Source organism: Homo sapiens, chromosome 4 (assembly GCF_000001405.40).
Source record: "Homo sapiens chromosome 4, GRCh38.p14 Primary Assembly".
NCBI classification, from domain to species: Eukaryota; Metazoa; Chordata; class Mammalia; order Primates; family Hominidae; genus Homo; species Homo sapiens.
In genome coordinates, this window is record NC_000004.12 from 188,090,939 (window position 1) to 188,110,941 (window position 20,003).

A 20,003-nucleotide genomic window follows, 5' to 3' on the forward strand; every position below is an offset into this window, starting at 1 on the left:
TTTAGGAAGTCCTGATACTCACTGTCAGTAATGGACACCTGTTCCGCATGGTGGCATGCTCATATCTAAAGTCCCGCTTTCATTCCTGATTATACCTGATTCTGCAAATGTTTTCAGAAATACATCAAGTTCCTAACCTAGTTCTAAGGACCCCAGACTGTATTTCTTCTCTAATTCCCCAAGCTTACGATGCATATGCATTTTTTCTCATTAGCATAGGATCTCCCCGTTATTATCATTCATGATTCAGGTTAAGTGCAACCTCTTCCACTACACACAGGTGTTGACAGTTACACAAATGCAAAGGCTCTGGATATTAAATCAGGCTCCTACTCCTGGAACGCTTTTTATTGGGTTAGTTTACACAAATTCTTTCAAAGTCTTGTTCTCCAACTTTCTGGTGTCTCGTGGTCTTGGATTTTACACACAGAAGATTAAGGGCTAACAGTAGCATCACAAGAAGGACCATGTTGTAAGATGGTGAGGGAGTCTGGACTTGTGTCTCCATTTGGGATACAGAGGGAAAACACAGGCCTGAGAGCTCCTTGGAAGGCGCAATGGGAGAAATTGTAAATGAGGGACATCTCGGTCACATTGTAGAATGATATCTGCCCGTGTTCGCAGTCAAGGAAAACGCCAACTGTGTCCAACTTCTTTTCCAGGAAGAGCCTTTTCAGAGGGGGGAAGACCCAGAGAGTCCACTCGGTCCCCATCACCGACCCCGTGAGCAAGACTTTCTCTCCGGAAGCTCTGGCCGTGCTGCCCTTCGCGTCTGCAGAGCCGTGGTATATGCCCACTTGCCACCTGGTTGCCTTTTCCACGTCCACCTCCCAGTAGTGCCTCCCTGAGGTGAAGCTCTCCGCAGCCAGCACCATGGCACTGAAATCCAATCTTTCTGGGTTGCCAGCCCCATCCTGCTGCCCATGTCTCAATCTCATAGTTCTCAGGTCCTCAGATAGTGCCAGGCAGGGATGAGCTGTTTCAGGATCCAATGTTAAATGTCCTATCAGGAGAGAAAACCCTCGTTAACCTAGGAGTTCACCAATGCCAATGCCAGAGACATGATTTCTAACACACCTGGGCTTCCCACTGAGTGGGCACAAGTCCCAGGCCCAGATACGGGAGAGGCAATTTGGGAGGGTCCAGGAAAAGGAACTGCTGAACTTCAATATGGACCTCATGGAGGAAAAAGTCCATAAGATATGGAAAGGGACACAGTCTACCTGAGCGGGAAGAATAAAACAAAGATGAATGAGCTAAGGAAGGTTTAGAAACACCTTCATCCAACGTGGCGCGGTGGCTCACGAGGTCAGGAGTTCAAGACCAGCCTGGTCAAGATGGTGAAACCCCATCTCTACTAAAAAAATACAAAAAGTAGCCGAGTGTGGTGGCAGGCGCCTGTAATCCCAGCTACTCATGAGGCTGAGGCAGAAAATTGCTTGAACCCAGGAGGCGGAGATTGCAGTGAGCCGAGATCACACCACTGCACTCCAGCCTGGGCGACAGAGCAAGACTCCATCTCAAAACAAACAAACAAACAAACAAACAAACAAAAAACAGCTTCACCCCAGAGACGGTCAAACTGTCCTGGTGCCAAGTTCCATCCAGATATCACTTGGGGCCCAACCCTGGTCTTCTAGATCTCCAAGCCTGGAGCGGCCACAGGAGTCGGCCAGCAGCAACTCATTCGTGGCCCTCCCGATGCCGTACTCTACACATCTTAAATATCCCCACAGGGTGACATAGAGGCCTGGAAATTGCTGACAACAGGCCCTGGACATCAGGCATTACATCAGATAATTTATCAGCGGAGGATGGAACACCTGTGTGGACCCTCCAGAAACTCACGCTGAGAACACGCAGGCTCAATGAATTCCTCACACCTGCATGAATACGTCTTCTTCCTATCTCTGACTGTTCCTCTCATCTCTTTCTGCCCAGCCTCTAACTATTGTGATCTTTCAGGGCTTGGTCCTGGGACTTCTTCTTTCAAGTAGTATATTCTCCTTCACTGCCCCCAGGTAACTGTGCATAGCTTCAGTTTTAAACATCTTCTCTGTGTTTGTGACTCGCTCCATAAACAGCTAAATACCAGTTGGAAAAAACACAGGAATTTCAAACATAACACACCCAAAATGGAACTTCAACGCCAGCCCTCTGCAGTCTCTACTTCTCAGTTCACAGCTCCCTCATTGCTTCAGTTGTCTAAGCCATAAACCTGGAAGGCCTTTATTTCCTACTTTCTGTAATGTGGAATCCAGCTTAATTTCTATTATTTGACTGAAGTAAATTTAATGAACTTAAATCTCTGAATTTGAAGCCCAATTCACATTATTAGGGTGGTCTCAACAGCTACACGTCTTGAATTTTTAAAAAATTGTCTGAGACTCTCAGTATTTCCAGGAGACTGGCAGAAACAAATGCAAATTATCTCTGGAAAAACGCACAGCTGTGGCTGGGCACGGTGGCTCACGCTTGTAATCCCAGCATTTTAGGAGGCCGAGGAGGACGGATCACTTGAGGCCAGGACTTTGAGACCAGCCTGGCGAAACCCCATCTCTACTAAAATTACAAAAATCAGCCAGGCCTGGTGGCGGCCTGTAATCCCAGCTACTCAGGAGGGTGAGGCAGGAGCATCGCTTGCATCTGGGAGGCAGAGGTTGCAGTGAGCCGAGATCATGCCACTGCCCTCCAGCCTGAGCAACAGAGCGAGGCTCATCTCAAAAACAAAAACAAAAAAGGTTGAAGAAACAACAGGAGTATCTCAAGAGAAAAAGAACTTGATAAATTCAACATTGATTCATAAAAATTCTTAGTAAACCAGAAATAAAGGGGGACATCCTCAATTTGATGAAAGGCAGCCATTAAAAAAAACTATAGCTAGGGCCAGGTGCGGTGGCTCACGCCTTTAATCCCAGCACTTTGGGAACCTGAGGCAGGCAGATCACGAGGTTGGGAGTTCGAGACCAGCCTGACCAACAGAGTGAAACCCCGTATCTACTAAAAATACAAAAATTAGCTGAGTGTGGTGGCACTCAGCTACTCGGGAGGTTGAGGCAGGAGAATCGTTTGAATCTGGGAGGAGGAGGTTGCGGTGAGCTGAGGCTTCGCCATTGCACTCCAGCCTGGGTGACAGAGCCAGACAGCATCTCAAAAAACAAAAACAAAAACAAAAACAAAAACAAAAACAAAAAACACAAAACAACAACAAAAAGCGCTATAGCTGTATCAGAATTTAGAGTGAAAAGACTTAATGTTTTCTTTCTTCCTAAGATCGAGAATAAGCAAGTGTCCACTCTCACCACTTCTGTTCAACACACTGCAGGTCTGAGCCAGTATAATAAGGCAAGAAAAATTCAGAAAAGGCTTACAGACTGGAAAGGCAGAAATAAAGCTATCTATACTCATATACTGCATGACTTTGTAGAAAATCCTGAAGGATCTATTTATAGAAATCCACTGTCTAATGAGTGAGTTTTGCATAGTTATAGGGTACAAATGTCAATATATATAAAACAATTCCATTTCTATATACTTGCAATGAACTAGAAATGAATGAAATGTCAATTAGAAATTGATATTTTAAAATACCGTTTACAGTGGCTGTAAAAAACATAAAATACTTAGGGATACATCTCCAAATACATATAACATTTTATGCTGAAAGTGACAAAACACTGATGAGAGAAATCGAAGACCTAAATAAATGGAGATATTTTGTATTCCTGGACTGAAAGCACCAAATATTGTCAAGATGTCAATTCTCCCCAAACTGATCAACGGATTCAATGTAATATGAATAAAAATCCCAGCGGTCCATTTTGAAGAAGCCAACAAGCTGATTTCAAAATTTATGTGGAAAAGCAAACAACCTACAGTAGCCAAAACTATTCTGAAAAAGAATAAATTTGGAGAATGCACAGTACCTGCTTTCAAGACTTCCTACAGAGTTATCAATCAAGCCAGTGTGCTATTGGCAAAGGGAAAGAGTCAACCATCAATAGACCTATTAGAGTCACAAATAGACGTGATCGCATATACCAGTTGATTTTCAACAAAGGGGCCAAGTAAATTGAATGGACAAAGGTAGTGTTTTTAACAAATGAAACTGGAACAAATGGATACATGTGAGTCAAAAAATAAAAATAGAAGGTGGGGGGAGGAGAGGGTTTGCACCATTCTGTGAACTGTATACAGATATTAACTCTCAGTGGTTCATAGGCCACAATGTAAAACCGAAAACCATAAAACTTTTGGAAGGAAATCTTTGTTGGCTTTGGCAAAATTTCTTAAATAAGACACAAAAAGCAGAAGTCATAAAAGAAAAAACTTGATAAATTGAACTTCATCAAAATGCAAAACCTCTACACTTCAAAAGACAGTATTAGGAAAATGAGAATACAAACCATGCTGGGAGGAAATATTTGCAAAATTTATCTGATAAATGAATGCTAAACAGAACATATAAAGAAATTATAAAACTCAAGAGACATACAACCCAATTTAGAAAAGGGGTTTGTACATGTATTTCACCAAAGTTGAGATAGAGGGAAAACAAACACATGAAAATATGCTCAGCATCATTAGTCATTCTGGAAATGCAAATTAAAATGACATACCACTACCCATCTATCGGGTCGGATGTAGTAAAACAAACTGACAATACCAAACCCTGGTGAGAATACAGAGTAACTGAATCTTTCGCACGTTATTGGTGGGAAGGCAAAATGGCACAGGCAATTTGGAAAACAAGTTTGGCAATCCCACCCTTAGACAGTCAATCAAGAACTATGAAGCTGTGCCCACACAAAAATCTGCTGCTAATATTTACAGCACAGAGCTGGAAACAACCCATGTCCGTAGAATTGCAAAAGGATAAGTAAATTATGGTATATTTATACAATGGAATATTATCAACAATAAAAAGGAACAAACTACTGATACACGAAGCAGCCTGGACGTTCTATATGTCAACTGCAGTATGCTGTCAGCCTCGAAAGGCCACACACTGTAGGATTCCATCGATAGGACATTCTGGGAAAGGCAAAGCTATAAGGACAGGAGATATAAACCCTTTGTTATACATGCTGAATTTCTTCCCCAGAAGTTTTAAATTTTTAAGCAGTGGAATCTGCCTGCAATCATGTTTCATGGCTGGGGAACTGGTAAAGAATCTGCAGCCAGGCGTGGTGGCTCACGCCTGTAATCCCAGCACTTTGGGAGCCTGAGGCGCGTGGATCACCTGAGATCAGGAGTTCAAGACCAGCCTGACCAACATGGTAAGACCTCGTCTCTACCATAAATACAAAAAATTAGCCAGGCGTGGTGGCTCACGCCTATAATCCCAGCACTTTGGGAGCCCAAGGCGCGTGGATCACCTGAGATCAGGAGTTCAAGACCATCCTGACCAACATGGTAAGACCTCATCTCTACTATACAAAAAATTAGCCAGGTGTGGTGGTGCATGCCTGTAATCCCAGCTACTTGGGAGGCCGAGGCAGGAGAATCACTTGAACCCAGGAGGGGGAGGTTGCAGTGAGCCAAGATCGCACCACTGCACTCCAGCCTGGGCAAAGTGAAACTCTGTCTCAAAAAAAAAAAAAAAAAAAAAAAAAAAAAAGATTTTGCATGGGAAGAGCTTTCATATGAGATCATACAGTTATTTTTTTGATCCTTATCTAATATGTATAACATATTAAGCTCTCCAGTCTCCTAAAATTTTTATTTATTTATTTTAAGACAGAGTCTCATTCTGTTGCCCAGGCTGGGGTGCAGTGGTGTGATCTCAGCTCACTGCAATCTCCACCTCCTGGGTTCAAGCAATTCTCCCACCTCAGCCACTCAAGTAGCAGGGACTACAGGCACACGCCACCACAACTGGCTAATTTTCGTATTTTTTGTAGAGATGGGATTTCACCATGTTGGTTAGGCTGGTCTCGAACTCCTGGCCTCAAGCAAACCGCCCGCCTTGGCCTCCCAAAGTGCTGGGATTACAGGAGTGACCCACTGTGCTGGCCTAAAATTGTTAAACTACTGGAATTTGTTTTCATTTATGGCAGGATGGTCACCTGATTCTCAAATGCAGAACAGTGCCCTGTGAGTATTCACATGTGTCAACTTACTCTGGAGTACTCTGAACATGCTGCTGAGTCCTCTTATGTGGCATAAACTCAGGTCTGTGATATGAGCGGGCTCCAGATGCTCAAGCAGCAGTGACTTGCTCCTGAAGAGAAAGGACAGCCTCAGTCATCTGCACAGACCACAGGCCCCTTAGTCTACTGGATGGATCCCATTACATCCTACCAGCAAATGCAATCTCCCTATCTCAATCAACATCTTACTGGACTCTGATTCTCACCCAATTGTATCCAAAATGAAAACTCACCTTTCTAAAGAGTATTTTGCATTCTAAGGGAAAGAAAAGAGACCAGGTTACTACTGGGTTTTTGAGCTGTTTTTGCAATCTGTGCCCAGGAAAATATCCTCTTACAATGAACTCAATTTCCATGTCATTTCTTCAACCTCATAATGCTAGTTATCAGATGAACAAATTCTAACATGGAAACAGAAAAAGTCAGAAAAATGCATGAAATCATTTTGTCGTAGTCCCAAGGGAAAGGTTTTCTATCCCTCACCCCAGGCATCTTACTCAGAGCCATCATTTCTCAGTCTTCAGACGGGAGCATCTATCTGCTTTCCATGCAGGGGGTGGCCAGAGTTCAGCAGGTGAAGGGGCCACTGGCTGGGAGGGCAGTGGGAGCCAGGCAGAGCCACACCTGCCTGCATGCTCAAGAACTGAGCTGCTTCCTAAGGATTTACCTACAGACGCTTTCCAGATGAGCGCATTCATTGCAATTATAAGCCCAGGAGAGGGATATGGACAGTCTTAAAAAGATAGTAAGGCCAGGCGCGGTGGCTCATGCCTGTAATCCCAGCACTTTGGGAGGCCAAGGTGGGCGTATAACCTGAGGTCGGGAGTTTAAGACCAGACTGACCAACATGGTGAAACCCCGTTTCTACTAAAAATACAAAAATTAGCTGGACATGGTGGTGGGCGCCTGTAATCCCAACTACTCAGGAGGCTGAGGCAGGAGAATCGCTTGAACTGGGGAGGCGGAGGTTACAGTGAGCCGAAATTGCGCCACTGCTCCAGCCTGGGAGATAGAGCGAGACTCCGTCTCGGGGAAAAAAAAAAAAAAAAAGGTAACCCACTTTCTGAAAGGCAACGTATGTTACTATACAAAATTCAAAATATGCAATACTTACCATAGACTGAGTAGCTTCTGCACAGCAGAAATTCATTTCTCGCAGTTCTGGAGGCCGAATTTCAAGATCAAGGCACTGGCAGATTCAGTGTCCGGTGAGGGCTCCATCCCTCCTAGGTAGCCTCCATCTCCAGCCTCACAAGCTGAAGGGGTGAGGTCTTCCTCGGCCTCTTTTATAAGAGCCCTAATCCCATTCACAGGGGCTCTGCCCCCAGGCCCCACTCACTACCCAAAGGCCCCACCTCCCAATACCATCGCCTTGGGGGAGAGGATTTCAACATATATATTTTGGAGGGACACAAACATTCAGATCATAGCAGATAATCTCACCCTTGTTTCAAGATTATCACAGATGACTATACATTTATTAATTTTTTGCCAGAAAGTCTGTGAATGTTAGCAACCACACATGTATATGTGTGTGTATATATACTTATTATCCAAAGATCAAACAAAAAGCAGTCTGCATCTTTCTTTTTCACTTAATGAGTGCTTGAAATACTGTTAGTGCCTATAGAGCTGTTTTATTCTTTATGATCACAGAATATTTCATTGCATGGAGGTATTAACCACATTGTGTCACATCTCAACCCTAACTTACTGCTGATAATTTTAAGGTGAGAATTCATCTCATGAAGCAGCTCCACACTATCCCACAAAGCTATGACCATTCCTAAAGCTTTTGGCAGCTGAAAGAAAGTCATGTAGCCTTCTTTTGTGGTTGAAGATCATTGGATATTGTGTTCTGACAGCAACCCCTAATGAGTACTGTCCACTTCTCATTTCTCAAATACTGGAATGAATTTTATTTTCTTTTTCCCAGCATCTTACCTTGAGCAATGCCAAGGTGCCTTCCCCACACTTTTTCTCAAGCTCCACGATGAGCTTTAGGAGGCTGCGGACCTGTTCAGAAGCCCTGGCTTCACTCTCCTTCAGTTTCTCCATGTTCTCTCTCCCCACACGGCCCAGTCTCTGCAGAAGCATTTCTTCGTTACTATTCAACAACCTCAAGTTCAGGAACAAGAGTTCGGTAACTTCTCCTATAGATTAATTCAACCATGTTTTTAAAAACCTGCTTTTCGGTTGGGCGCAGTGGCTCACGCCTGTAATCCCAGCACTTTGGGTGGCCAAGGCCGGCGGATCATGAGGTCAGGGTTTGAGACCAGCCTGGCCAACATGGTGAAACCCAGTCTCCACTAGAAGTACAAAAATTAGCCAGGCGTGGTGGCGGGTGCCTGTAATCCCAGCTACTCAGGAGGCTGAGGCAGGAGAATCGCTTGAACCTGGGAGGCAGACGTTGCAGTGAGCCAAGATCGTGCCACTGCACTCCAGCCTGAATGACAGAGCAAGACTCCAAATCAAAAAAAAAAACCAAAACCAAAACCAAAAAAAAAAAAACCCTGCTTTTCTGCCTGCTACCCCAGGAACAGACATAATTAGGCAAGGCCATGATATTCTTCTGCTGAAGCAGGATTCCTCTCAAGAGACAGTTGATTCTTTGCCCCCTGTTATGTATGTTTAAGCCAATACAGATGTGTGTGCACGCAGCCCTTACTCACATTAATATGCACCTAAAACATTTCATGTTTTTTCTGTGGCTGTTTGTTCAGAAGGTTCCCTATTTTTTCATTAACTTGAAATCAATTAAAATTAAGGTATATAGATTAACTAATAAGAAATAAATAATTACGTTACTGATATCAATTTTCTTTTTATCCTTCCAAGTATACTTTACATATACTGCGTAGTCACATACGCAACTTGAGTATGTTATTTAGGGGGAAAAAACATAAACATAAGTGATAGTTTATTATATTTGATTACTAATCTGACAACTTACTTTATTCTTGGAGAACATTCCTTATTCATATACACAGAGCCATGACATCATCTTAACATGCTGAAGAGTATTCTTCCATGTATGTATGGAGCACATTTTGTGAGTCTTCTATTGACAAATACAGGGTGTTTCTAACCTCTTGCTATGAATGTTATAATTGTAACATCTGCTACTCATCAACTGCTTAACATGAACAAGACACGATTTAATAAGCTTTAGCAGATTATCTCACTCAAATCTCACAATAATTTTATAAATTAGGGGTCACTGTTATATCCAGTTTACAGCTAAAGGAACCAAGTCAAAGGTTAAGCAGCAGGTCGTAGGCCACCCAGGAGCCAGTAAACAGCTGGCTCAGATAGGAACTCCATTCATCCGGCTTCAAAGGTGAATTCTAGGCCGGGCGCGGTGGCTCACGCCTGTAATCCCAGCACTTTGGGAGGCTGAGGCGGGTGGATCATGAGGTCAGGAGATCGAGACCATCCTGGCTAACACGGTGAAACCCCGTCTCTACTAAATATACAAAAAATTAGCCGGGCGTAGTGGCGGGCACCTGTAATCCCAGCTACTTGGGAGGCTGAGGCAGGAGAATGGCGTGAACCCGGGAGGCGAAGCTTGCAGTGAGCTGAGATTGCGCCACTGCACTCCAGCCTGGAGACAGAGCCAGACTCTGTCTCAAAAAAAAGAAAGGTGAATTCTAAACCATGGCTCTAAACTGAAACTCAGTTTCAGTGTTGCCTTACCCAGGTGTCTTTTTCTATGTGTGTAAGTATGTTTGAAGCATAATACAGTAATATGTGTACAAATATATTTATAGGTATATTGTGCTTTATTTATGTCTTTTTATATGCATGTCAAGATAAATTCATAGAAATGGAGTTGCCAGGTAGGTATATAATTCATTTAATACATGTGTGGTTGTCACTGGCTATGTTATTTTGGAATTGACATAATGTTTAGCTCTTCTTTTTCTCATTTCTCAAATATGAGGATGTTGTTTTCAATATCTCACCTGTAGCATTTCCTGGAACATCTCCTCTAGCTCGGTGGCAAGCTTGATCGCTTGATTCAGAAGGGTTTCTCTCAGGTTCAAGTCAGATATGCATTCCTGCTGTCTCTGGAGATTCTGCTCACACTCTTCATTCAACAACCGGAGTCTCATACTATACTCAGACTCAATCATCTTTTTAAAATTTTGTTCCTCTTCCTTCCTCATATAGACATGATAGACTTCAGGTTAAACATGATAGATTAACAACACACACACACGTCATAATAGATAGATATCTATATCTATATATAGATATATATATCTTACACTGACCACAATGTATTCTTTCCATCTCTAACCCCAATATAAAGACAAGGAAGGCTGGGCGCAGTGGCTCACGCCTGCAATCCCAGCACTTTGGGAGGCCAAAGTGGGTGGATCACGAGGTCAGGAGATCGAGACCATACTGGCCAGCATGGTGAAACCCCATCTCTACTAAAAATACAAAAATTAGCTGGGCGTGGTGGGGAGCACCCATAATCCCAGCTACTCGGAAGGCTAAGGCAGGAGAATCGCTTGAACCTGGGAGGTGGAGGTTGCAGTGAGCAGAGATTACGCCACTGCACTCCAGCCTGGCAACAGAGCTAGACTCTGTCTCAAAAAAACAAACAAACAAAAAAAGACGAGGAAATGTAAAGTACAGAAGAAAAGGAATAAACCCAAAGGAGAAATAGAATTTGAGTCAACATCAGCCAAGACATCAACACAATTTTAGAACATAAAATGCAGACGAAGAAATGTTCATCAATGAATTGGCTGGGCGCGGTGGTTCACGCCTGTAATCCCAGCACTTTGGGAGGCCGAGGCAGGCGGATCACGAGGTCAGGAGATCGAGACCATCCTGGCTAACACGGTGAAACCCCGTCTCTACTAAAAATACAAAAAATTAGCCGGGCTTGGTGGCGGGCGCCTGTAGTCCCAGCTACTCGGGAGGCTGAGGCAGGAGAATGGCGTGAACCCGGGAGGTGGAGCTTGCAGTGAGCCGAGATGGCGCCACCGCACTCCAGCCTGGGCGACAGAGGGAGACTCCATCTTAAAAAAAAAAAAAAAAAAAAGAAATGTTCATCAATAAGGAAAAACTAAGGAAGCTATAGCCTCTGTCAAACAGAGGAGGAGACCAGGACATTGGAAAAGGGCCAATGGGATTTGCTGATGCTTGGGTAAGAGTTGTGGGGAAAAAAGGAGTCATGGACGAAAGACACCAAAAATTTTAGACTAAGCAACTGGAAGAATGGAATTACCAAAATATATAGAGAGAATCTATGGAAAGGCTGGATTCCAGAAGTGAGGAGTGTGCGTTAGCTCGGGATGTGATGAATTTGATTAGTCAATTAGACATCCAAGTAAAGATAGTAAGTAGGAAATTGGACATGAAGCCTACTACCATTTGGAAATCTGAGCTAGGGATATATATTTGAAAGTAGTCATCTTAGAGATGCTTAAATAGCATCTCTATTAAGCTATTTAAGATTCAGTGAAATTGTCCGGGCTCACGTCTGTAATCCCAGCACTTTGGGAGGCCAAGGCAGGTGGATCATGGGGTCAGCAGTTCGAGACCAGCCTGACCAACATGGTGAAACCCCGTCTCTACTAAAAATAAAAAAATTAGCCAGGCATGATGACGGGCCCCTGTAATGTCAGCTACCTGGGAGACTAAGGCAGGAGAATTGCTTGAACCCGGGAGGCGGAGGTTGCAGTGAGCCGAGATCGCGTCACTGAACTCTAGCCTGGGTAACAAGAACGAAACTTCATCTCAAAAAAAAAAAAAAAAAGATTCAATGAAATCAAGATTTATCAAGAACCTGACTACTTCTCACCACTGCTCTACCTGTCCCCCAGCTCACCATCATCTCTCCCTAATTATTGCAAGTCCCTTTGCACGTCTCTCCACCTCTGCTTTTACTCTCTTGGTTTTTTTTTTTTTTTTTTTTTTTTTGAGACGGAGTCTCGCTCTGTCGCCCAGGCTGGAGTGCAGTGGCGCCATCTCGGCTCACTGCAAGCTCCGCCTCCAAAGTTCATGCCATTCTCCTGCCTCAGTCACCTGAGTAGCTGGGACTACAGGCACCTGCCACCACACCCGATTTTTTAGTAGAGACGGGGTTTCACCGTGTTAGCCAGGATGGTCTCGATCTCCTGACCTCGTGATCCGCCCGCCTCGGCCTCCCAAAGTGCTGGGATTACAGGCATGAGCCACCACGACCAGCCTGCTTTTACTATCTTAATGTCTATTTTCATTTGGCAGCTAGCGTGTTTCTATGAAAATGGAAGTTAAATCATGTCAGCCTTCTGTTCGAAACCTTCCAGTGGTTTTGAAGCTTGTATTTCATTGAAGGCTGCCACCCTAAATGACTGACCGCCTTCTTCTGATCTCATCACCTACAGCCCCCGTTTCCTTACACAGCTCCAGCCACATACACGGCAGCCTCCAGGCCTTTCCTCTGCCTAGAATATTCCTCCCCAAGAAAACTGCATGGCCCAATCCCCCACCTCCTTCAGTGCCACCTTCTGAATAACAAGGTTCTGATCACTTTATTTACAAGCTCACTCCATTGCTTCCTTTCTCACTTAAAAAAAATTTTTTTAAACACTTCCCAGGTAACATACTATATATTAAACTTATTTTGTTTATATCCACTAGAATGCAAGTTCCACGAAAGCAGAGCTGGTTTTTTTTGTTTTCCATTGGTGAGCCCCTAGCACCTTGCATAGTCCCTGGCAAACAGTGGGATCTCAGTATTTGCTGAACACATGGTACTTGGAACTGAAAAAGAAGGGGGATCGGTTGAAAAATCCTTACCTAGCCAGGCAATTCTCCTCCACTATCTTCCCTAAGTAGGCATTTATTTCCTTTAAAAATTGAGGGAGAGAAAAGACCCAGAATCGGGGATACCTTGCACAGAATAGGATTAAGTATGAAGATACAGGCTGAAATTAGAAGTGAAATATGCCTAACAGGTGGTGAACCCTCAAATCTGAATAGCTATTCTCAAATTGCTCTTTAAAGGGTTTTAGAATTTATGTGGCAACCAGAAGTACAAGAGATGCTCATTCTCCTATGTCATTGTTATAAACGGTGTCGTTAATCTTTTTGATCATTGCAAATAGCATTGCAAATGCCATTTTACTCACCATATAATTTGTATTTCTCTTACCACGAACAAAGTTCAAATTCTTTCAATGTATTTAAAATATATTTACTTTCTTTTCTGCAAACTCTTATTTGATCGTTTTTTAAAATTAAATTTCTAGTCTTTTCCTTACTGACTTTTTTTATTTTTATTTTTTTTGAGATGGAGTCTTGCTCTGTGGCCTAGGCTGGAGTCCAGTAGTGTGATCTCGGCTCACTGCAACCTCTGCCTCCCAGTTCAAGCGATTCTCCTGCCTCAGCCTCCCGAGTAGCTGGGATTACAGGCTCGTGCAACCACACCCAGCTAATTTTTGTATTTTTAGTAGAGATGGGGTTTCACCATGTTGGCCAGGCTGGTCTCAAACTCCTGACCTCAAGTGATCCGCCCTCCTCAGCTTCCCAAAGTGCTGGGATTACAGGCGTGAGCCACCACACCCAGCTTCTTACTGACTTTAAAGAGCTTTTTATACATTAAGATATTAGCACTTTTCCTTCCTATAGATTTCACATTTTTCCTGCTTTGTGATTTGTCTTTTGACTTTGTTTATGATACACTATTTTCTAACAACATTACTGGTAATTTCCCCCCAAGAATCAAGATAAGCACTCACTGACCTGAATCATCGCCATTCTTTCTTGCTCATCAGTCAATATGCTTTTAGCTGCTTCAAGTTTCTCCCTCGATGTGTTCAATATTTCCTGGAATAACTTCTATAGAGAAAGCACAGAATTCCAGGTGAGATCATTGATTTAGAACAGTTGGATTCCTGACCTTAAACAGCCAACAACTCTGAGTATATATTTTCTTAGCCTTTAGGTTGAAGGTTCAACGAACTTATCTAATATTCTGTAATAAACATCAACTAAGGTAATGGTTTTGGAGGACCAGAATGTCTGTCCATTTCATCCATATAGGAGTTGGCCAGAGTGTTTTGGGATTTGCGTGAGTGACTCTTACCCTGTAATTCTCAGCAGCCTCTTGTATCCCACACACCATGTGATGTTTGTGCTCCTGGGACTGGAAGCATTTGCTGCAGAGTGTGATTTGGTCAACATCACAGAACAGCCGTGTTGGTTCCAGGTGTGTTTCACAATAGGCATCTTCTGTGATGTTGTGCTGTAACTGAGGGCTGAGCCTTTTGGACATCCTGGTAGGGGTCCCTAGTTGAAGACTGGACTGTATGCTTCTACTGAGGTATCTCCCTGCACTGTGAATGAGAAAAAATGGTGGCTTCCTTTGTTTTCTGGAGCAGGCACACACACTTGGCAACTTCAGAGTCCACGAAGATCCAAGGAAATAAGTCCACGCAGACAGAGCGGGTCGGCGCTCTGGACTCCTCAAATCCAACAAATTTCTGGCAGCTGCCTGCTTGGGGAAAAGACAGAGTTAGGCCAGTGTTCTAAGACCAGCGGGTTTCCCTCAGGTCTTCTGACAATCTTGAGCAATAGGCTGAAAATTAATTACAAGGAACAGCACTCACTTACGAGTCATTCAGGGGAAAACAGTGCTCTAAAGGCATCGCGCTAATTACTGAAGGAACTTCAGGACTAGAGTGAGGTAACAGAGTGCGAAAGAGGTTCGTTGATAGAATTACAGAAAAAAACCACAAGTATCTGAAAAAGTTATTAAAATACTTTCCCTTTGAGAGACAGGGTCTTGCTCTGTTGCCCAGTCTAGAGTACAGTGGCGTGACCACGGCTCACTGCAGCCTCTGGAACTCCCAGGCTCCAGCGATCCTCCCACCTCAGCTTCCGGAGTAGCTGGGACTACAGCTGGGACAAAACACATGCAACAGAAGGAATGGGGAAGCAAATAAGGGAAAACAGCTCCTCTTTTTTTTTTTTTGAGACGGAGTCTCGCTCTGTCACCCAGGCTGGAGTGCGGTGGCGCGATCTCGGCTCCCTGCAAGCTCCGCCTCCCGGGTTCCCGCCATTCTCCTGCCTCAGCCTCCCGAGTAGCTGGGACTTCAGGCGCCCGCCACCTCGCCCGGCTAATTTTTTGTATTTTTGTAGTAGAGACGGGGTTTCACCGTGTTAGCCAGGATGGTCTCGATCTCCTGACCTCGTGATCCACCCGCCTCGGCCTCCCAAAGTGCTGGGATTCCAGGCGTGAGCCACCGCGCCCGGCCGAAAACGGCTCTTCTAAGAAGCCATCAATTAAAGAGATTTGCAAAACAGTGAAGCCAAAGCCACTCTTCTCAATAATTGTTTCCGAAATAAAATTTCAGGAGTGACGTGACGCGCTGCCCGCGGTCTGGCCGTGAGCGCCCTCGCTCCTTCCTCTTTGACTCCATCTTCGCGGGGGCGGCAGCCGGAACCGCGGTTCAGTCACCAACATGCAGTTCTTGGTCCGCGCCCCGGAGCTACACGCCCTCCAGGTGACCGGCCAGGAGACGGTCTCCCAGGTCGCGGCTCAGGCAGCGCCACTGGAGGGCTTCGCCCCGGAAGATCTATCGTGCTCCTGGCAGGCGCGTCCCTGCAGGGCGAGGCCACCCTGGACCAGGGCGAAGTGGGAGGCCCCGACTGCCCGGGAGGCCAAGTCCGTGGTTCCCCGGCCCGCGCTGGGAAAGTGACAGGTCAGACTCTTGCTAAGGTGGCCAAGCGAGAAGACAGGCCGGGCTGAGCCGCGGGTGCGGTACCACCGGCGCTTTGTCGACGTTGTGCCCATCTTTGGCAAGAAGAAGGGCCCCAATGTCCTTCTTAAGTCCTTTGTAATTCTGGCTTTCTCTATTAAAAAAGCCACTTAGCTCGAAAACTTTTTTCTCAGAAAAATGTTTTTGTTTTTATTATTTTATTAACTTATTTATTTATTTTTGAGACCGAATCTCTGTCGCCCAGGCTGGAGCACAGTGGCACGATCTCAGCTCACTGCAACCTCCGCCTCCCGGGTTCAACCGACTCTCCTGCCTCAGCCTCCCGAGTAGCTGGGACTACAGGCGCGTGAAACCACACCCAGCTAATTTTTTGTATTTTTAGTAGAGACGGGGTTTCACCGTGTTGGCCACACTGATCTGGAACTCCTGACCTCAGGTTATCTGCCCGCCTCAGCCTCAGTGCTGGGATTACAGGTGTGACCCACCGTGCCTGGCTTGTTTTTATTATTTTAAATGAATAACTATAAAATGCAGTTTTAAATTTCTAATACAGTAAACATAGATATTAACGCTCATAAACAAAAGCTTATTGGGATCTTCGTCAATAATGAGTGCAAAGGAGTACTGATTCCAAAAAGTTGAGAATCTTGGCCTGAAAAGGCATATTCCCCACAAATAGGACTGTGAATGAATGCATCCATAATTTTGATATGTTTTGTCAGTTTCCCAAGCACAAAAGTTGTACAATTTTGCACTCCAAGCAACAAATTAAAAAGATGTTAAACTTTTGGATCATTGCCCACTGGCTGGGTGAGAAATAGTGTATTCATATATTTTCAACTTCCATCTGTTATATTATTAATATGTCTAAGCCTTTTATTTTCATATGCTAAAAAACCATTTTCACTTCTTTTGCTGTGAAGTCTATGTTCAAGCCTCTCTCTCAGTTTATTCCATCAGGTTTGGCCTTTTTGGAGGGAGGGGTCAATTTTAAGAGAGAGCTATAGATCCAAGTTCCTGTAAATTGTGTGAGTTGCAAATACTTTCTCCCTCCTTCCTTGTTTTTGATGCTCTCATCCTTTCTTCTGCTTAGGTCTTTGAAATCCCTGCTGGTTTCCCGTGTCTTAGGTCCCTGAACATGTCCGAGATGACTCCACTGAGTCACCAAAACAAAGAAATTCACCAACTCAAATTTTTCCTTGAGCTCTCAGCAGCAGTTAACATAGCTGACCACACCCTTCTTCCTAGAATGTTTTCTTCTCTCATCTGTCTGCAGCTGACATTCCTCTAACTTGTCTGGTCTTGTTCTCCGTGGCCTTTTCTGGTCCCACATCCTCTGAACCTCTCAATCTTGGGGTGCTTCAAGGTTGAGTTCTGGTCTCCCAGTCCTGGTCTCTCCCTAGGTAATCTTACTCGTTTCTGAAGATTTAAGTTCCATTCTCCGATTTCAATCTCCTGCCCAATTCCCAACATTTTTGCAATAGAATGTCTAAGGAGCACTCAAAATTAACATATCTAAAGCCGCTCAGGATCTCAACCCAGTGGCTCTCTTCCCCCAAACTCATTCCTTTAGAGCCACAGTTTAAGCCTTCCTTTCACCAATTCAACTATTGTTTTCCAAATTTATATTCTGTCCTGCCCTCCTCGTCCATCTCCAGCTCCTCTCTGCTCAACCACCAGAATACTATTTTAAAACCAAAACCAAGTGAGCAGGTTTGTGGTCACTTTCTATGGCATTAGAGTAAGATCGAAGTGGGTAATAACCCCGTCCTATACAATCTGGCCTCCTGCCTTCTTCTGATCTCTCTATAGCTTTCCCCCATCACTGTCAATCTAGCTGCCTCTAATTCATCACAGCCCTTCCCCCTTCCGTGGCCAACAGAGCTCTTCTCTCATATTTTTGCAATTCCAGCTGCCTCTTCTTTCTTCTCTTCAGTTCTCAGCTCAAATGTCTTCCCAAGAGAGACCTTTCCATCACTACTCAATTTGAAATACCTTCCCACTACTCATCTCCTTATTTTATTTTCTTAGTAGCGAAAAGATTTTATCTTTCTATGAACAAGTTTACTTGTGGGTCACTCTCCATCCATAAGAAACTAAGTCCTTGAGATGCCCTGTGTCTACATCTGACATACTCGATGCACAATAAATATTGTAAACGATATTTTATGTTAAACCAGTAAAAATTGAAGGTGTAATGAGAGAGGGACAGAGACTAAATATTTTTACAGAAACAGCAAAGGAAAATTGACGAATTAAGTCCCCAGCATGTTGTCTACCCTTATTTTGTTTTTCCTAATATTTTTCTTCAGGCTTTTTCCTGATAACACACAGATACACACACACACACATAGATTCTAAGATCAAGTTTAGAAATCTAAAGAAACAATTATTAAGAAAATGATCTATAGAGAAAATCTCACTTACTTTCTTTGTAGCAATCCTGGGTATTTCCTTTTTTTTTTTTTTTTTTTTTTTTGAGACAGGGTCTTGCTCTGTCACCCAGGCTGGAATGCAGTGGCGCAATCTCGGCTCACTACAGCCTCGAGCTCCCAGGCTCAAGTGATTCTCCCACCTTGACCTCCTGAGTAGCTGGGATTACAGGCGCTGCACGACCACACCCGGCTAATTTTTGTATTTTTTGTAGAGACGGGGTTTCAGTATTTTTCCCAGGCTGGTCTTGAACTCCTGGGCTCAAGCAATCTGCCTGCTTCAGCCTCCCAAAGTACTGGGATTACAGGAATGAGTCACCACACCGAACCAAGGTATTTCCTTTAGGGAAAAAGCTGGAACAGTGGAGACTGAAGAGATTTTATCTGTTCAATTCCTCCCTCAGCCCCGCCCTCACACCATCAGGAAGGCGTCTGTGAAGTTTCTTATCATATTCACACAATTAATCTCATTAGAACCACCTGAGTTTATTAAAACGCAAGCCTCTTCACAGGGTCTCTGATTCCAGAAATCTACGGTGGGGTCCGTAATTTACATTTTTAATGGACTCCCAGAAAATGCTTAATAGCCCTGACCTTGGTTGGATAAATATCTTGTTTTATCTCCAGTGCCATGTACAGTGCCTAACACCTCTAGCTCCTTAAGGTTTGGGGTTTTCTTTCTTAATGAATCTAGTGTATATTGACAATTTCACAGGAAAGAAGCCTTCGAGCTAACACTCAAGACTGTGTTTGTTCCTTAGTAGAAAATAATGCCTGACTTGTTAGTTTCTAGAACGTTTGCTGGAGAAGTGTTCATTCCAGTATCTGTGGAAAGAAAAACCAAGAGTAGGGATAACTGCCTATGGAATCTGTCACAGATGGGAGGTCAGGGAACAATCCCAGATAATTCATACTTGATATTTGGCTTCAGTGAGGAGGAACTCTTCACAGCTTTCTAAGTTTTATAGTTTTGTCCCCGAGGGTTTTTATTGCATCAGTCAGTCAATCCCCTGCTAATCAAACCAGGGAGTTTTTTTCTTTATGCTGCTGACAGGATAATGAGAATTCTTCTGCTTTGCTTATCTGATCTTTCAGAACCTGGTTCTACCTTATGGAATCTCAATACACCGTTTCTCTTTTTCTTTTTTCTTTCTTTTTTTTTTTTTTTAGATGAGAGTCTCACTCTGTTGCCTAGGCTGGAGTGCGGTGGAGCGATCTCGGCTCACTGCAGCCTCCGCCTCCCAGGTTCAAGCAATTTTCCCACTTCAGCCTCCCGAGTAGCTGGGATTATAGGCGCCCACCACACCCAGCTAATTTTTGTATTTTTAGTGGAGATGGGGTTTCACCATGTTGGCCAGGCTGGTCTCAAACTCCTGACCTCAGGTGACCCACCCTCCTTGGCCTCCAAAAGTTCTGGCCACCGCGCCTGGCCATACACCCTTTCTCTTATCTCAGATGATTACCTACACCCACTCTCTTTTCCAAAACCCAATTCCCCAGCTTTCTTCAAATAGACCACATTTATTCCTGTGCCCCCTCCCCTCCTCAGCCAGTCCATCCTCCTTTACTTCTCTTATTTTTCTAATCCAATCTTCCTTTCTCTTCTAAGCCTGGGTACGGCCAACGTCTGTGAAGATACTCACACATACTTGTTGTCAGATACTCTGTCATTTACTCTCACCATCCCTTGAGCT

The 20,003-nt window shown here is 44.1% G+C and overlaps 1 protein-coding gene and 1 pseudogene across 8 annotated transcripts, besides 4 other annotated features; one reads left to right on the forward strand and one right to left on the reverse strand.

Moving 5' to 3' along the window:
- Positions 1-333: 333 nt before the first annotated feature.
- Positions 334-18,665, reverse strand: TRIML2 (tripartite motif family like 2). Of its 8 annotated transcripts, XM_047449767.1 has the most exons (9): positions 18,305-18,665; positions 14,242-14,649; positions 13,899-13,994; positions 10,118-10,312; positions 8,097-8,237; positions 7,267-7,341; positions 6,386-6,408; positions 6,123-6,223; positions 334-1,003 (listed from the first exon to the last, which is right to left on the reverse strand). In XM_047449767.1, exons 2-9 carry the CDS (start codon positions 14,428-14,430, stop codon positions 435-437), a joined length of 1,389 nt encoding a protein of 462 aa, XP_047305723.1. In that variant the 5' UTR covers positions 14,431-14,649; positions 18,305-18,665; the 3' UTR covers positions 334-434. The 8 variants fall into 8 exon arrangements, with proteins under 8 accessions (XP_047305723.1, XP_011530040.1, NP_775824.2 ...); XM_011531738.3 differs by lacking the exon at positions 7,267-7,341; NM_173553.4 differs by lacking the exon at positions 7,267-7,341 and having other exon boundaries at positions 14,242-14,652.
- Positions 9,121-9,622: an enhancer, noted in NCBI's record as "H3K4me1 hESC enhancer chr4:189021213-189021714 (GRCh37/hg19 assembly coordinates)". NCBI's record gives its function as "activates a minimal SCP1, AML or CMV promoter by ChIP-STARR-seq in primed H9 embryonic stem cells {active_cell/tissue: H9 hESC(primed)}" and the evidence as "EXISTENCE:reporter gene assay evidence [ECO:0000049][PMID:30033119]".
- On the forward strand, positions 15,620-15,976 carry FAUP3 (FAU pseudogene 3; annotated as a pseudogene).
- Positions 15,622-16,139: an enhancer, noted in NCBI's record as "H3K27ac-H3K4me1 hESC enhancer chr4:189027714-189028231 (GRCh37/hg19 assembly coordinates)". NCBI's record gives its function as "activates a minimal SCP1, AML or CMV promoter by ChIP-STARR-seq in naive H9 embryonic stem cells {active_cell/tissue: H9 hESC(naive)}" and the evidence as "EXISTENCE:reporter gene assay evidence [ECO:0000049][PMID:30033119]".
- Positions 16,659-17,177: an enhancer, noted in NCBI's record as "OCT4-NANOG-H3K27ac hESC enhancer chr4:189028751-189029269 (GRCh37/hg19 assembly coordinates)". NCBI's record gives its function as "activates a minimal SCP1, AML or CMV promoter by ChIP-STARR-seq in naive and primed H9 embryonic stem cells {active_cell/tissue: H9 hESC(naive and primed)}" and the evidence as "EXISTENCE:reporter gene assay evidence [ECO:0000049][PMID:30033119]".
- Positions 17,178-17,696: an enhancer, noted in NCBI's record as "OCT4-NANOG-H3K27ac hESC enhancer chr4:189029270-189029788 (GRCh37/hg19 assembly coordinates)". NCBI's record gives its function as "activates a minimal SCP1, AML or CMV promoter by ChIP-STARR-seq in naive and primed H9 embryonic stem cells {active_cell/tissue: H9 hESC(naive and primed)}" and the evidence as "EXISTENCE:reporter gene assay evidence [ECO:0000049][PMID:30033119]".
- Positions 18,666-20,003: the final 1,338 nt, after the last annotated feature.

Bases quoted from the DNA above. Each gene is read 5' to 3' on its own strand.
- TRIML2 (XM_047449767.1), bottom strand. From the start codon at position 14,430: ATGTCCAAAAGGCTCAGCCCTCAGTTACAGCACAACATCACAGAAGAT. The intron at 13,995-14,241 runs GTAAGAGTCACT...CTTTCTCTATAG, and splicing joins AGGCTGCTGAGAATTACAGG to AAGTTATTCCAGGAAATATT. The intron at 7,342-8,096 runs GTAAGATGCTGG...TGAATCTGCCAG, and splicing joins GCACCTTGGCATTGCTCAAG to TGCCTTGATCTTGAAATTCG.